This window comes from Homo sapiens, chromosome 6 (assembly GCF_000001405.40).
Source record: "Homo sapiens chromosome 6, GRCh38.p14 Primary Assembly".
Classification (NCBI taxonomy): Eukaryota; Metazoa; Chordata; class Mammalia; order Primates; family Hominidae; genus Homo; species Homo sapiens.
In genome coordinates, this window is record NC_000006.12 from 58,019,923 (window position 1) to 58,038,519 (window position 18,597).

General features: G+C 39.1%; 1 long non-coding RNA gene across 1 annotated transcript; it reads right to left on the reverse strand.

Annotated features, from left to right (window-relative positions):
• Window positions 1-13,659: 13,659 nt before the first annotated feature.
• Window positions 13,660-18,371, reverse strand: LOC124901336 (uncharacterized). The gene is made up of 2 exons (XR_007059628.1): window positions 18,342-18,371; window positions 13,660-13,869 (listed from the first exon to the last, which is right to left on the reverse strand). It is a non-coding gene; the product is annotated as an uncharacterized LOC124901336 (long non-coding RNA).
• Between the last annotated feature and the right edge of the window lie 226 nt (window positions 18,372-18,597).

Consider the following 18,597-nt stretch of genomic DNA (forward strand, 5'->3'; position numbering starts at 1 on the left):
ATTCTTCTTGGATTTAGTGTTATTTCTGAGGGATTTTTCTTTTCAGTGAGTTTCATCTAAGATTGTTAAGAAGCATAGAAAGAATAGACAAGATTCTCCTTGACTAAACATTTAAATATAAAAGCACTCAGGATACAGTATTGAATGGAAATAAATATTGGGAAAAGTGTTAAACTGACCCCAAGCATTAACTGTTTATAGTGGATTGAGTGGTTCCAAGCTGTAGAGGGACCTACCCAAAATGGTACAATTAAAACAAAAATGAATTTAAATACTCATTCCCCTAATTAAGTGTGTGCTGTTATGACATTTCAGCTATTACTCATTAATTCCTGCATAATTTGTGAGGCAAATTAAACAGATCTATAGCCATTGGATAAATGATCCACACTCCAGCAGCTTGCAACTGTCTGTGGTTCCTCGCACATGCTAGGTGTTTTTATTCCTGTTTTGTCTTTACTGATTTAGTCCCATCTGCTGGAGTATACATAACTTCTGCTCAGTCCTTAAGGCTCATAGCAGGTGACACTGATTGCAGGATATTTTCTTGTTACTCTCAGGCTGGGATAGGTGCCTCTATTTTACATATGTCTATCACTGTATTTTTCCATCCCATTTTTACAATTACCTTTTCACCTGTCGGTTTCTACTATTAGACTATGAGGTCCTTGAAATTATTCACCAATACTTCACTCTATGTTTTCAGTCTAGTAGTAAATACTGTACAAGTGTCTGTAGAGTGAATACATGAAGCCAACTCTCAGAAACTAGAATTTTCATTGCTGTGAAGCACTATTGAAAACTCTTATTTTGAAAGCTGAATTAAACATATTATCACCTACATTTTATGGACACATCTGAATCACTGCATTAAATTACTGTGTTTAATTTAGTTCTAAAATAAAAGCAATATCTTTGACCTCTAGTTTTTTAAGGGATATATTTTTAAAACAGAAAGGGAAAAGTCATAAGTGTAAATTGCTTCCCAATATAATCTCTTGAGTTCATATTTAATAAAGATAAGTTAATCAACAATTATTCCATGTGTGAGGGTATTTGTACATAAATCACTTAGTCTGGCTTGGATTTTACATTGATAGGACATAATTGATCTTTAAAAGTTTTATGAAGAATCACAGACTGTGAAATTAAAGGCGGTTGAATCATTTAACTTTGCCTTTCCATCAAGCAGACACCTATTTTCTTGGTAGTGGAAATCTTGTTTTATATGTATTATTGACCAGTCCATTAATTAACTGTCTCACAATAATTAACATCATGTTACCTTTTAGTTTATATCAGGAAAACCTACCAGAGTTTTCTAATCTGATAAACTGCTGATAAACTGCCAGCTAGAGTTTTTCCCACTCCCTCAAAATGTTTAAAGGTGTCATGAATGAGGTATATTATGTTTTCTGGCTTATAATTTGGCAATCCAGTTTGTCATTACATATTACACAGAGTTGTCATGGATAAGAAGAGGTGAAAAATGTCCAGTAAGCCAGTTTTACTCTGCTTCTGTCAATTTATAACAAGTTGCCCCTTGAAATTTACTTTCTGATTATTCATAAGTATTGTCACTGTTCTTGGAAAAGGGAAAATGAAAAGTGCACAATAGGCCAGTCGTGGTGGCTCACACCTGTAATTCCAGCACTTTGGAAGGCCAAGGCGGGTGGATCACCTGAGGTCAGGAGTTCAAGACCAGCCTGACCAACATGGTGAAACCCTGTCCCTACTAAAAATACAAAAAATTAGTCAGGCATGGTGGTGGGTGCCTGTAATCCCAGCTACTTGGGAGGCCAAGGCAGGAAAATTGCTGAACCCAAGAGGCGGCGGTTGCAGTGAACTGAGATTGCACCACTGCAAGCCAGCCTGGGTGACAGAACAAAACTCCATCTCAAAAAAAAAAAAAAAAAAAAAAAAGAAAGAAAAGAAAAATACACAATAGTCAAAGTTTGTCACTGAAATCTTTGGAAAGTATTGCATGTTTATGTATTTGTCTCATCCCCAAAATTAATGGTTCATGAGGTCACCTATATTACTTTCCTATTGCTACTATAAGAAATTACCACAGTCCAGGAGCGGTGGCTCATGCCCATAGTCCCAGCACTTTGGGAGGCCAAGGCAGGAGGATCACTTGAACCCAGGAGTTTGTGACCAGCTTGGGTTATATAGTGAGATCTCATCTCCACAAAAAATTAAAAAATTAGTGCAGTGTGGTGGCACGCACCTGTAATCCTAACTACTCAGGAGGTTCAGGCGGGAGGATCGCTTGAGCCCAGGAGTTGGAGGTTGCAGTGAACTATTATTGCACTGCTGCACTCCAGCCTGAGTGATAGAACAAATCCTGTTGCTCAGAAAAATAAAAAAGAAAGAAATTACCACAAACTTAGTGTCTTAAAATACCACAAATTTAATAGCTTACCTCAGTCCAAAATGGGTTTCACTAAGCTATAATCATAGTGTCAGCAGGATTCATTCTGGAGGCTTGAGCAAAGAATCTATCTTCTTAGCTTTTCCAGCTTCTAGAGGCCACCTGCAACCCTTGGCTCATGACATAGTCCTCCATCTTCAAAATCAGCAACCACATCACTCTGACCTTTACTTTGATTACATTGGGCTGCCCACATAATCCAAGATAATCTCTGCATCTCAAGGTATTTAATCATGTCAGCAAAATCCCTTTTGCTCTGTGTGTTAGGGATCCCCAAGAACACTCCCAAGTTTAATTCTTTTTTTCTTTTTTAATTATACTTTAAGTTCTAGGGTACATGTGCACAACGTGCAGGTTTGTTACATATGTATACATGTGCCATGTTGGTGTGCTGCACCCATTAACTCGTCATTTACATTAGGTATATCTCCTAATGCTATCCCTCCCCCCTCCCCCCACCCCACGGCAGGTGCCAGTGTGTGGTGTTCCCCACCCTGTGTCCAAGTGTTTTCATTGTTCAATTCCCACCTATGAGTGAGAACATGCAGTGTTTGGTTTTCTGTCCTTGCGATAGTTTGCTCAGAATGATTGTTTCCAGCTTCATCCATGTCCCTACAAAGGACATGAACTCATCCTTTTTTATGGCTGCATAGTATTCCATGGTGTATATGTGCCACATTTTCTTAATCCAGTCTATCATTGTTGGACATTTGGGTTGGTTCCAAGTCTTTGCTATTGTGAATAGTGCCACAATAAACACACATGTGCATGTGTCTTTATAGCAGCATGATTTATAATCCTTTGGGTATATACCCAGTAATGAGATGGCTGGGTCAAATGGTATTTCTAGTTCTAGATCCTTGAGGAATCACCACACTGTCTTCCACAATTGTTGAACTAGTTTACAGTCCCACCAACAGTGTAAAAAGAACACTCCCAACTTTAATTCTTTGCTAGGAGGACTCACAGGATTCAGCATATAGTCATACTCACAGCTATGATTTATTATGGCAGAAAACACCCTAAACAAATCAAAGCCAGTCAAGAGAAAGGCCCTTGGGCAAAGTTGAAGAAATTGCACACAAAGTTTCCAGGGTCCTCTCTCAATGGAGTCACCAAGGATGTGCTTAATTCTCCCAGCAACGGGTTGTGACAACACATGTAAAATGTTATTAACTGAAGCAAGTCATTAGAGACTTAGTGTCTACAGTTTTTACTGGGGCTGGTCATATAGGCAACTTCTACTGATCACGTTCTAAAATTCCGGACTCCCAGAAGCAAAGGAGGCATTCAGTATAAACTATATTGTTTGCCAAAACATTTTAGGCACAGCGAGCAACCCTTATCAGTTAACAGTGGGAACCCTCTAAAGTCTAAATTCCCAGATACTATCTAAGGGCCAATCCTAGAGGTAGGCCTTTTCAAGAATAGCAATTTAAAACTGTTGTTTTAACTCGTTTCTTCACACCATATAAGGTAATTTATTTACAGGTTTCAGGGATTAGGGTGCAGACATTTTGTTTTTTTATTATTATACTTTATGTTCTGGGTTACATGTGCAGAACGTGCAGTTTTTTTACACAGGTATGTACATGTCATTGTGGTTTGCTGCACCCATCAACCCGTCACTTACATTAGGTATTTCTCCTAATGTTATCCCTCCCCTAGCCCCCAACCCCACACAGGCCCCGGTGTGTGATGATCCACTCCCTGTGTCCATGTGTTCTCATTGTTCAACTCCCACTTATGAATGAGAACGTGCGGTGTTTCGTTTTCTGATCTTGTGACAGTTTGCTGAGAATGATGGTTTCCAGCGTCATCCATGTCCCTGCAAAGGACATGAACTCATCCTTTTTTATGGCTGCATAGTATTCCATGGTATATATGTGCCACATTTTCTTAATCCAGTCTATCATTGATGGACATTTGGATTATGGCTGCATAGTATTCCATGGTATATATGTGCCACATTTTCTTAATCCAGTCTATCATTGATGGACATTTGGGTTGGTTCCAAGACTTTGCTATTGTGAACAGTGCTGTGATAAACATATGTGTGCATGTGTCTTTATTGTAGAATGATTTATAATCCTGTGAGTATATGCCCAGTAATGGGATGGCTGGTTCAAATGGTATTTCTGGTTCTAGATCCTTGAGGAATCACCACACTGTCTTCCACAATTGTTGAACTAATTTACACTCCCACCAACAGTGTAAAAGCGTTCCTATTTTTCCACAACCTCTGCAGGATCTGTTGTTTCCTGACTTTTTAATGATCGCCATTCTAACTGGCATGAGATGGTATCTCATTGTGGTTTTGATTTGCATTTCTCTAATGAGCAGTGATGATGAGCATATTTTCATATGTCTGTTGGTTGCATAAAAATGTCTTCTTTTGAGAAGTGTCTGTTCATATCCCTTGCCCATTTTTTGATGAGGTTGTTTGCTTTATTCTTGTAAATTTAAGTTCCTTGTAGATTCTGGATATTAGCCCTTTGTCAGATGGATAGGTTGCACAAATCTTCTCCCATTCTGTAGGTTGTCTGTTCACTCTGATGATAGTTTCTTTTGCTTTTCAGAAGCTCTTTAGTTTAATTAGATCCCATTTGTCAATTTTGGCTTTTGTTGCCATTGCTTTTGATGTTTTAGACATGAAGTCTTTGCCCATGCCTATGTCCTGAATGGTATTGTCCAGGTTTTCTTTTAGGATTTTAATCGTCCTGGGTCTTATGTTTAAGTCTTTGATCATCTTGAATTGATTTTTGTATAAGGTGTAAGGAAGGGGTCCGGTTTCAGTTTTGCAGGGTGCAGACATGTTTTAAGGGGAGACATTATTCTGCCTACAATGTCCTTATTTTTTGTATACTCACACCTCTTGCCCAGTGTCTTGCATTTAGTGAGTGCATGGGAAGTTTTCCTGTGGACCATGATTTGGCATATTCCCCTGTGGCCTGGGCTTAGCAAATGTCATTAACATCCACCCAGTACCTGAATAGAAAAATCTACTTTGGTCCCTTCCTTTTTTCTGTCCTTCATATTCAATCAATCACGAAGTCCCACTGATTCTACTCTCTAAGCATTTTTTTTATTTCCTTTGGATTCACAACTATACTACCACTGTAGTTCAGACCACCATAACTTCTTGACTATCTTTGTCTATAAACTCTGGGCTGGTTTCAAGCTCTAGTTTTGCTTCCCTCCAATCCTTCCTCCAGGCAGAAACAAGTGTGTTCTTTTAGAACACAAATCAAATAGTGTTATTGCCCTATTAATAACCCTTCAGCGGTCTCTGTACTTCTCCAGGCTCAATTTTTACCCTCTTGCCTTGCACACTATACAGTTTCCAGTCACACTGAATTTCTCTTGGTTTCTCAAACAGACAGGCTCCCTCAGGTCTTACGTGAGTTTGTTCCTTTGTACTAAACACTTTCCCCTTTCTTTGCCAAGTTAATTCTGCTTATCCCTTTACTTGGGTCTCAGCATACACATTTCTTTCTCAGGGAGATCTCACCAGGCTTCTAAATAGATTAGGTCCCTTTACTACCTACTCCTTGATACCTGAACTTTCCCTATCATTCCACTCATCCACAAAGTTATGATTTTGTCTATCTCTCTACTAGATGATACTCTCCACTATGGTAGAGTCTCTGCTTTGTTTTCTTTTATTTCACTAATAGCTAGCACATGAAATTGGGCATACTAGGTTCTCAATAAATATTTCCTAAATTAGTGAATGGATTACTACCTAAAGCTTTTAAGAGTGATTGTATGGCAGCTTTGGAAAACAGCCTGGTAGTTCCTCAAATGGTCAAACATAGAGTTACTCTATGACCTAGCAATTTCACCTCCATGTATGTATTCAAGAGAAATGAAAACATACATTAGTGATTTTCCAGAGCTGAGGAAGTTGGAAAGAAATGGGGAGTGACTGCTGAGTATGGGGGTTTCATTCTGAGGTAATGACAATGTTATAAAGCTGATTATTATAATGGTTGCACAATTCTGTGAATATATTAAAAACTATTAAATGGTGCACAATTTGTGTATTGTACAGTATATGTGTTGTATGTCAATAAAGCTGTTATTAAAAAAGAATGATTGAAAACCAGCCAATGTATCATTCAACTTTGAAAGAGAGCTGATGTCTAATATAGATTAAGAAGAACATTAAGTTCAAGAAATACTAATTGAATGAGTGAATAGCCTACTATCTTCCCAAGACTACTGCATTCTGTGTTGACTAAAATGTCCGGTCAGCTAGTTCACTTCACAACTCAAGCACTCACATACATGCTTTTCCTTGGGTTGACTGTTGTACTTTGGTAAGAAGCAGAAGGGCTTTATGTATATTACATAAAATATTTTAAAAAGGAATGAATTCAAGGGTTGAGATTTAATAAAATTAATACTTTTAAGTGATTCATCAAGAACACCCTTAACTAACACTGGCTCCCCCTCATCCTTTGCCCCAGCCACTGCTAGTGTGTGGTACAGGGTAATGAATGCAATGACTGATTCAGGTTTAGATGCCAGCAGGTGTCCTCATTATTGCTTTTGCAATAGTGTAATATCACCTTATTGAAGAAGGCAAGTAGCTTCTTAGCATGAAATTAGTTTTGACCAAATGATTGCCCTGAAAGGATCTCAAGGAATCCATGCAGTTCTGTAGACCACAGTGGGAGCACTGCTGTCCTAAGTGATATAAAACCACAGAAGCCTTATAACAAAGGTTCAGAATGTGTTTACAGATCTCCCTGGTATTCGATATTAGGTTGTGCCCAAGTGGTCCTTGCTTTTAAGATTGATAATCATTGCAATCAAGGTGGAAATTATTTGGTCAAATTTCTTTTCTTTTTTTTTAAGACAGGGTCTCTCTCTGTTATCCAAGCTGGAGTGTAGTGGCACAGTCACAGCTCACTGCAGCCTCAACCTCTGGGCTCAAGCAATCCTCCCATCTTAGCTTCCTGAGTAGCTGGGGTAACAGAAGTGTGTCACCATGCCCAGCATATTTTAAAGTTTTTTTGTAGAAATAGGGTCTCACTATGTTGCCTGGGCTGGTCTCAAACTCCTGGGCTCAAGCAATCCACCTGCCTTGGCCTCCCAGAGTTCTGGGATTGTAGACATGAGCCACTGTGCCAAGTTTCTCCTTAATGTGGTATACTTCTAATTAAGGAGACAGCATTGCTAATTGTTAAATAATTAGCATTTCTCTGCTTTTCACTGTCAGTGGATATATTAACAGCAATCACTTCAAACTTTGTTATCTCTGGTCTTAATGTTTTTTTTCCTCTTCTGTTCTCTTCTCTCTTATCTAGAATAGTGAAATAAGGTGGCCAAGGAGGCAGAGATGGAGTCAGGGACTCTGTGGTAAGTAACCTTTCATGGTCTAAGAAGCTCATGCCATTGCTCTGGATATCTTTTCTTAGAAGCTTTCTGAATGACTTATGGTAATAGATTGGAGATGGATTGAAACATTCTGGCTGCTCCACATCTGGGTACTGAGAAGCCTGCCACCAAATTCTTGATTTGAGTTAAAAGATGCCATTCAGGACACAGTTTCAGGCATATTTAGGCTCAGCCCATGAATAATTTTCCAAGCAATGATGTAAGAGAAAAATTGCCAAAGTATTCTGTGATTTGCAATTAGATTTTAAGATATAGCTACCATACTTTGTGATAACACTGAAGGATAATGTACCAGTGGCAGTTTAGAGTTTTGCAATGTGTTAATGAAGGTTGTCTTTGTTTAGCTTTTTCTATGCATTTCTTCAGGGAACACTAAAATACTTCTTTGTGTTGCAGAAGATTTCTCAGCATGGCCAGGTGGCATTTAAAGAGCCTAATGAGAAAGATGACTTGGCTCCAAGTGGCAATGTCAAAAGATACATTGCAGCTGCCCTGTCTCAGAGGGCCTGGAACGAAACCAACATTCTCAATTACTGCCCAGTGCTAGCGCATCACTACTTCTTCTCAGCATCCGTCATGCCCTCTCTTCATCTGTTTAAGTGGGTGCTTTGGCATGAAGGAAGCTGTGCTTTATCTCCCAAATGCATCTTGCTGTCTTTGGCACATTTGTCGTTTGTTGGTGGTGGTGCCAGGACTCAGCCGTTTCATGACAGGCTTTGAGATAGTGAATCAATTGTTATTGTTTTTCTTTTTGAAATACCCATCAGACTTTGTGATTCCCCTTTAAAAATGAAGGCTGCTTCATGTCACTATCAGGAAAAAGAAAAATAAGTCACAGAAAATTATATCATTTTCACATTTGATTATATTCGGTAACTGGTCAGAAGAAAACTAAGCCTTGATTTTTCACAATGTTCATCTAGGTGGGAACAAATTCTAGATTTCTCAGAAATCTCATTTTATAGAAATATAGCATTAGGAGTATACTGATTTGGCCTTGGCTTTTAAAATTCCTTAGAAAGATAGACAGAGAGAGAGAGAGAGAGCAAGAAGAAAAAGAAAGAAAGGGAGAGACAGAGAAAGAAAGAAGGAAAGAAAGAAAGGGAAAGACAAAAGACGAAGAAAGAGTGAGACTTTATTATTTCCAGCTTTTCACTGTCCCAGGAGGGCAGGAACCCTTTAAGAAGCACTTTGTGAGAATCCAGGAGATTGCTTCTCACTTGAATGGTATTTGAAATTTCCTGTGGACTGTGGATCTGAAATCTTAGGGTCAGGATGAAGGATTTGTGATCTAAGGCTTCTTGATCCTACCTCCTAAAAAAACACAAATTAATATTGGTAGAGCTCATCACCACAGGATTACTATCCAGCTGCATCAAATCCAGATAAAACTGAGTAATAAATTCACAAAGTTGAATGTTCTTTGTTTTTGAAGCATCAAGTTAAACCTTTTATGTCTGACACTGTTATTCAAAACCTAAACCAGTTCTAAGTTTAAAAACCATTGTAAGAAAACTTCAACTTTTTAAGGTTTTTAGAATGATATTTAAAATTTGGCTGAACCTAATTTATGGCTTAAAAAAAAGAGGAAAGCCGGAACATATTCATGCCCTACCTTTGTATATGGTTCACATTCTGTGAAATAGTTTCCACGGCATTGCGCTAACAAGGGATACTGAAAAAAGAAGCTTCTTGAGGTCAGTGTCTCCTCTTGTTTTTACTAGCAATCAGCTAGTTTTGCCAGTTATGTGACCTTGAACAAAATCACCTTTCCATGCCTTAGTTTTCTCAACCGTGATACGGGAATAATAATAGTGATATCTTATAGAGTTGCATAAGGATTAAAATAATAAATACAATAAAGCACTAGAACAGTGCCAGATACAAAAGAAACACTACATTAGGTGTCGTAGTTATGACTGAGATGATGCTAATTGTACAAGAAAAAAGATGAATAAAGAGAATGTAAGAGAGAGGAGAGAGAGAGAGAGAGAGAGAGAGACAGACAGACAGACAGACAGACGATCTTCTTCCTGACAAAGAAGGGGAAAGGAGTTAGTAGTGATAGCTGGTGTGTTTCTTGGCATTCTTGGCATTCTTTTTTGGAAACTAACTTTCTAAGTGGGTGGAGAGTTTTCTTGAAGAAGACAGCATGGTTCATGGAGGAAGGCTTCCCTTTGGGCACGGGGTCTTTTCAGCCTTGCCAAAGATTCCCACATCCCTGGGATGTGCAGAGCCCCGGACATGAGGACTAATCTCAGTCATGACTATGATAATCTCAACAGTGATTAGTGAAGACCGATGCATCTGGATTGGGGGTAGGGTGGGATGAGTCTGTTCTTCTCTACCTTTAGTGCTGTAACACACACAATCTCTGTGCATTCTTAAGAGAAGAAAAACTTAGTAGGCTGGGTACTTGGAGTTGAATTTAGGTTTGTTTAAAGGTAATAAAGAAATTCAATGTTTTTTGTGTACCTGGATTGTAGACTAAGATTTATACCCACTGCGTTAATTGGCTTTTGTAGTTATTGTTTATAGATGTGTTTTGGATGTTTCACATATGTATGTTCCATTTTTCAAAATATATCTTTGATAGTAGGGACCATTTAAAAATATCTGTCATAATTCTCCACTGTGCCAGAATATCACAAATATCACTCTGTGCACACAGCAAGTGTTTAGTCAATATTGATGTTCTGTACAGGGTCCCAGGATATGGTTCATAACTGGCTTACTGGGGTACAGAGGTATAACTATATCCCTTCACCAAGTCATATGATACAAAACTTTTATCAATATGTAACAGTTTTTTTCTTTGCACCAACTGAATACTGTCACTCAGAACTCTGTAAAATATGACATAGATTAAATGGATTGTGTGATGCAGTTTAGTTAATATAAAACTATCATTAAAGAAAGAGCATGTGAGAACATTTGTACCAGGAGAGTATAAACAGCTAAGCCCAGGGCAGGAGACAGCTCTATTGAAACAGCCACACAGTGCAGAAAGGCTGCAAGGGAATGCATGAAGCCAAAGCTAGGGAAGCTTTTATGGAAATTGTGAGATGTCACATGATTTTCATGTTATTGTTAATGACTTTGATGATGATTTTGGTATTTAGTCTCTTTCAAGTACACTGTCAAAATTCTAGAATTCAAAAAAGTGTGACAAATACTGAAAAGTTAAGAATTACTGCTTTGGAATAATTATATCTTTTAAAAAATAGTTTGAGGCACTTGAATATTAGGAAGTTGATTTTTTCAACAGCATCTTTTTGGGCCAAAAAGAGTTATTTCAGCTGGATTGCCTCCTGCCTATTGTTCAGTGGTCAAGGAGATTTTAAGCAGCAAGGACAAGGAGATCTTCTGGTATGACTTCCAACACTTCCATGCATGTCTTTGGAAAAGAAACAAATAGTCCAAATGTCTTTAGACAGTTTATGCAGGGGCTTAATGTTTGCATCAGTTTCCCTTGTTCTGTAAGTCACATGGGGTTGGTGCACACATGGGCCCAGGAAAATATGGTACACATAGGATATGTGTCACTGCTGAGAAACCCTGAGTTTAAAAACCCTCAAGCTGGTAAGGGGCTGCTGGTAAACCTGTCCAATCTTTCCTCTCTAGGAAAACATTATCTTTATTATCTTGGAATGTAAGCAAATCCCCCATGAAGAAGGCAGGGAGACTTTATTATCCTGAAGTGACTAAATAAATCTGCTCTGTGACCAGGAGAGTGACATTCTCTCTAGCTTCTATAGCTGTCTGTTATGCAAATATCCTTGAACAAAATTGTTATTGAGCAATCATTGATGTACAATGCACTGGGTTTAACACTGAGGAAGAAATGATAGAGACCATCAGATCTGAATTTGAATCTGAGTTTTGCTGCATACTAATTGGGTCATCTTGGGTGAGTTATTTAACTATTATTCCCTGTAAAGTGGAGAATAATATTTTCCTCTTCAAAGAGCTATTGAAATAAGTTACATGGTGTACTTCAAGCACCTGGCACTAAACAGAAATAATCACATTGTAAAAGTTAGGATGGTATTAGGCTGAGAGTGCCAGAAAACTTGGCTATCAGTAGCTTAAAAGAAGACTTTTTTTTCCCCCTTGCATAAGTACAAGGCCAGAAGTAGATACCCAAGAGCCGGTTTGGTTGCTTACTAATGCTGCCAGAGATAGGCTTGCTCTGCCTTCCTTAACATGTGGTTCTTGCAACTATAATGATAGTTGCAAATGGTTGCTGTTCCTCTAGGCCTAAATCTACTTTCCAGGAAGGAAGAGAGTGGAAGGACCCAAAAGCCTTCTACTTGCAAGCTTTGTATTTCTATTTTGGAGTGAAAGCCCTTCTCAGGGACTTCATTCACATACTAACTGGCAAATTCTGGGTTACGTAGCTACTTTTAGCTGGGAGATTGGACATTTTTAGTTAGGTACACAGTTTCCCTAAACAAAATCAAAATTCTGCTAAAAAGGAAGAAGGTGGAATAGCCCTGGCTAGTTGACTGGCAGTGTCTGCCACAGACATTATACGTGTTCAGGCTGTTCATGTTCTAATACGTTACTTCTGTGAGCAATAAAAACTTTCTGTCCTGGCAGTAAGAGACTCTAGCTGGTGTTCACTTTTTATTAGACATTTATATTTAAACTTAAAAAGGTTAATTCTACTTTATCCAGTGGTCAAAGGACAGATACATTCTCAGCTTCCAGATTTCAGACAATGTGAATAGCATATTTAGTGAACTCTAAAATAGAACAGAATTAACATGTTGTAGTTAATAGGCCTACTGGAAAGCTTTATCAGCCCTAACATAGGTAGCCTAATTACCACATATTTTAATTTCTTCTTCTTCATTAACAGGTACTATGGGGGGCATTTTCAATGAATTGGCTCTCAGTATTTTGGCTTTAAGCTTCTGTTTCCATCTTTATATTATCAAGAATTGGTCAGTTGGGTATCAAGTCATTCTGTGGAGCCTAGTTTCCTGGTTGTGAATTAACCTGTAAGTTTAGGAATATTTATTTCAGTCCCTTTCTGTGGCATAAATGCTACTAAAATGTATTTCTCATTCCTTAATAGGAGAAAACTGAAAACAATTTTTCCTAATTTTGGTGATTCAGAATCACCTGTTAAGCATCAGTTATTATGAAATTTTATAGCCATAGTTATTGACATAAAACTCCTAGAGTCAACTTATTCTTTATTTACTTCTTTTTCATAAAATGAAGCTGATTTGTGAGACCCTTTGGGCCAGTGTAATAGGCCACCCTCAAGAGTCATCATCATTCTTAAAGAAGTTTTCAATGCATTCACTGTTGCTCTTGTCCTTGACTTCTCACCCCCGTTTAAATAATTATTTTTGGTATCTGTAACATCCATAATTGGATCACAAGTACCAATCTATGAACTTACACCCACTTTCCCTTCTCATCTGTACAAATTTCATTAACAAAGTAGAAGGGGATTCTCCCTCACCCTTTCAAAGAATTTTGAATGTATTTTGTGTGGGCTTATTCCAAAGCAGAACTCAGCGAACATTTTCTGTAAAGCGAAGACAGTAAATATTTTAGTCTTTGTGGACCACATACAGTCTCTGTTATATATACTTTTTTTTTCTTTCTTTCTTTTTTTTTTTTTTTTTTTCATTTGCAGCTTGAAGGGCCATACATAGATAGGTCAGATTTGGCCTGTAGGCGAAGTTCACTGACTCTTGTTCCAAAGCATATGGTTCTTTATCACTACAGCAGTGGTCTCCAAAATTTTTTAAAAGTGTATCCCTCTTAAAAAAGCTTCAAGAATGTACTCACAGCCTAGATACTGAAATGTTTATTTTTATTTATAAAACATTAGATGTTTTTATCAAACTAATAAATTATGTACATTATAAAACATGCTCAAAAATATAAATTTAAAAAGCATGAGATGAAATGTGAATGTAAATAGAAGTTCTAAAAGTTCTTTCTGTGCCCCAGGAGATCATCTTGCCTACTTTTTGAGCAATCTGCATTTCATCTTGGAGTTCTCCCTGTTGGAGGAAAAAGATGATGCTTGTCACATGACACTGGCCCACAATTTTCTAGAAGATCTTAATATCAGCCTTTATCTTGAGCCTACTTAAACCCAAGGGAACTTGATTCATTTGGACCTGCCAAAATAAAGGTTGAAAAACATTACAAGAATAGACTTAAAAAATTAGTTCTCAAAGCTATTCAGAAAATAGACTATAATAGAAAATAAGCTCTTCAAGATTATAAAAGTCTCCTTCAGGGTCATAATTTATTAACCATTTCATTTTTTTCACTGGTGAATGTACAGTCTTTTAATGTGATATATCACTTGAAATGCCAAGGCTACCTTTTGGGAAACAGCATGGAATCCAGGTAAATGCATTTACTTATGAAACCGGACTGTTAAGTGACCAGTACCTAGAACTCAGGGCACTCTCAAATTGTTTTCTAAGAACCATTATTGAAGTGCCCTGCATCGGACCCAGCATGGTAGGTACCACGCTAAGTGCTTTACACACATTTCCTCATTCCTCCTCAATCTTGAGAGAAGTGCCACCACCCTTTTAGGTTAATTTTCTAAATGGTATAGAAAAACAGCACATAACAGAGCTGCTTTTAGGTACCACTCATAGGCAAAACCAACTTGAACAAGCGTGAGGGGAAAAGAAAGTACGTTTGATTCATACCAGCAACCTGTGTTCACAAAGGGTGAAGGGGCAGCTGTTTCAGGGCAACTGGAAATAGGACTGGGAAGTTGGAGAACTCTGCTACTTCTCTCTGCTTTTCTCACTATGTGGGCTCCACTACCTCTTCCTGCAGTGTCTTCCTCCTCATGGTGGGAAACAGGGCTGCCAGCTCACGTGTCCCAACTTCACCACCTGAGAGAGAGACCCTCTTCCTAAACCTGGTCCACTTCGCTGGCCAGGGTGTGCTGCCCTGACTGGCTCAACCCTGTAGGTGACTCTAACCTCTGCATCAATCATGGTCTGAAGGGCAAGAGATCAAACTAAGATTCTTAATTTTGGATTTATGGAGTTTATAGTTGGCTATAGGTGAATTTTGGTGTACCAATGAATACATTACAATTTTTTATGTGGAGTGTATGTATGAAATAGGTGCATATTTCTGGGGGTATGTCCATAACGTCTATTTAGGAGATAGAATTCTCTTTTTGCTTGTTCAGTTACCTTGTTAACAATTGACCTTAGTTAATAATTCTTTATATTAAATTATTTCTGGAAAAATAGCTGGTGTGACTTCTAAGTGGTCACAGAGGTAGCATTTGCAGGAAGCTACTGCTACTCCTAGAGTTGAAGAAACAAAAAAAGGGGGTCTGGAGTCATTACAATTTAAAAATGTGGGGAGGGGGCCCCGTAGACTTGAAACTCAGCTCTCTAAGGAACCCCTGCTCATGTGGTGCTGGGACCTCTAAGAAAGAACGCCAGGCAGCTGGTGCGAGGGTCTCTGAGGGGACGTGATGGTGCTTGTTCTGAGTGCCGGAATCTCTTCACACTGGACTCAACTGAAGCCTCCAAAACAGACTGGCATTTTGAGGATGGAAGTACAGGAGCCACAGCAGACAGTTCGCCTACAGGAAGAAACAGGACCCTTCTTCCTCCTCCAGTCTTGCCATTACCCCAAAGCGCCACCTCTTGATGAACTCTAACAGGTGACAGCTAGTGAAGCAGAAGTGTGATTTGCAACATCACAAGGCTAGGGGTTTTAAAGTTCAGAGATAATAGTTCAATCACTGGCCCAGTGGCCCATTCAAATTCTTAAAGAGAACTGGGACCCCAAAGGTTAAAACCTCTACCTTATATTTCCTAATATTTGGGGAAAAGGATTGTTTTATGCATGGAGGCACTGCTTCACAGGTGAAGATAAATCAAAATCTGAACTGTTTTATTTTCTGGGTTCTGGTATCACATAGAACAGATTAATCTCTTATGGATGTTCTGGAACTAAACTTATGCATTTAGGCGGTGAGGTTCTATTTTTTTCCCTTGAATGTTCTGCTTCTTCCCTTTTGCTTTGCCTGGAAGGAGATTTCATTTCTTAGGATGGTGTATTGCACACCATCTGTGGTGGTCTAGAGCACCGAGATCACCCAGAGGGCCTGTGTGTGCTTCTCTCTTGCCCTTCAGGCCATGATGGATACAGAGGTTAGAGACATCTAAAGGGTCGAGACAATCAGGGCAGCATACCCTGGCCAGTGAAGTGGTCCAGGTTTAGGAAGAGAGTATCTCTCTCAGGTGGTGAAGTTGGGACACGTGAGCTAGCAGCTGCTGGCAGCTCTGTTTCCCACCATGAGGAGAAAGCCACTTTGAAGAAAGAGGGAGCGGAGCCCACATAGTAAGAAGAGCAGAGAGAAGTGGCAGAGTTCTCCAACTTCCCAGTCCTATTTCCAGTTGCCCTGAAACAGCTGCACCATCACCCTGTGTGAACACAGGTTCCTTGTATGAATCAAATGTACTTTCTTTTCCCTTCATGTTTGTTCAAGTTGGTTTTGCCTATGATTGGTACCTAAAAGTAGCTCTGTTGTGTGCTCTTTTTCTACACCATTTAGAAAATTAACCTAAAAGGGTGTGGTGGTACTTATCTCATAAGACTGAGGAGGAATGAGGAAATGTGTGTAAAGCACTTAGCTACCTACCGTAAAGTACCTACCATATACTACATATCACAAAAAATTGTCATGGGTCCAATATTGGATCGTTAATAGCCTAGCTTGTCACTAATCTGTGTTGTGTATAGCAACTTCTCTCTGAGCCTCTTTTACTACTTTACTATGCCACTTGTTTTTCCCTTTTTCTGATACCCTGATACTGTCAAAACCCAACAAGGCATAGGGAGGTAGCTATTAACCCACAATGGCAGTGCATCACTTCTTCAAAGACATTACCTTAGTGCAGGTGTCTGTGGGGGAAGGTGTCCATTTAGACTTAAAAGTGATTTGATTTTCTCTTCATCTTCTGTTAGGCACCCTTGCTGTTCTTCTCCACTATCACTATCTGTTGTTGAATCTGTGTCCTTATTTCTAATTGGCGATGTGGAAGCTACACATTTGAGTCTATCTTCTCTCAGTTTTTTCTTTTCATTATGTTTCTTCCAAATCTTATTATGTCTCTTTTGCATGTTGGCTTCTCATGTGAAAAGTCTGGTTATTTATTTATTTATTGTATTTCAGAAGATCAGTGTAATAATTTTCAGTGACGATTATAACTCTCCTGCAGGCCAGTGTATTCTTTTGAGGCATGAGATAGGAAGCTAAATTACAATCAGAAGCTGTCCTGGGCGAGCACAGTAGCTCATGCCTGTAACCCCAGCACTTTGGGAGGCAGAGGTGGGCGGATCACGAGGTCAGGAGATTGAGACCATCCTGGCTAACAGGATGGTCTCTACTAAACCCCGTCTCTACTAAAAATACAAAAAAAATTAGCCGGGCATGGTGGCAGGCGCCTGTAATCCCAGCTACTCGGAAGGCTGAGCCAGGAGAATGGTGGAACCCGGGAGGCGGAGCTTGCAGTGAGTTGAGATAGCGCCGCTCCACTCCAGCCTGGGCAACAGAGCGAGACTCCATCTCAAAAAAAAAAAAAAAAAAAAAATACAAAATATTAGCTGGGCGTGGTGGCGGGCGTGCCTGTAGTCCCAGCTGCTTGGGAGGCTGAGGCAGGAGAATCGCTGGAACCTTGGAGGCGGAGCTTGAAGTGAGCCGATATTGCATCCCTGCACTCCAGCCTGGTGACCCTGGCGACAGAGCGAGACTCCGTCTCAAAAGAAAAAAAGAAAAAAAAGAAAAAAAAAAGGTGTCTTGGCGATCTACCAGTCAATGTAAGAGGACACCCTTTCTCCAGGTTGTTTGATTTAGCCATCACTGCTGCAGACTTAAGAGGATAAAAGTACTTAGTTCTTCAGAAATTATTTTCAATTATCAAACCAGACAGCTAATGATTATGCAATTGCTATTTCAAATGAATAGTTTAAAAATAAAAATAGAACATAATTGTTTTATGTGTCTAAACAACTATCTCTGCCTCATAAATACAAAGATATGGGGATGTACTCAATTATCAAAAACAAAAGAGAACAAAACAAAACCCAAAAAAGCATGTGGGAGCAAGTAATGTCAAGAAAGATTTCCTACAATAATCAATGGAAAAATTGTTGTTAGGGAGGCAAATGGATTCATATGAGTTTTGCCAAGCTTGGTCAAGTGTAGCATTATCAATTTGATACTTTCAGCCACACAGGCTACATTAGTTGAGTTGATTTAAACTGACCTTCTAAGTGACTGAAATAACTATGTTGATTGTTCAGCTATTTGGATCACACATGCACTGTTTGAGACAAATTTCAAGCTGCATCAGTGCAGTGAGACAGAGTGATATAATAATGATACGTCTACATTTCTATCTTGTGCCCCACCCCTCCTCTGCCTTCTTGGCTTATCCATCCACCTGGCCACTGGACAGTCCACATGAATAGCTACCTGATATGGTTTGGCTGTGTGTCCCCACGTAGATCGCATCTTGAATTGTACTTCCTTAATTCTCACATGTTGAGGGAGAAACCTGGTGGGAGATAACTGAATCATGGGAGCGGGTTCCCCTATACTGTTCTCGTGGTAGTAAATAAATCTCGCGAGATCTGATGGTTTTATCAGTGGTTTCCGCTTTTCCGTCTTCCTGATTCTCTCTTTGCCAGCTGCCATCCAAGTAAGTTGGGATTTGCTTTTCCTTACCCTC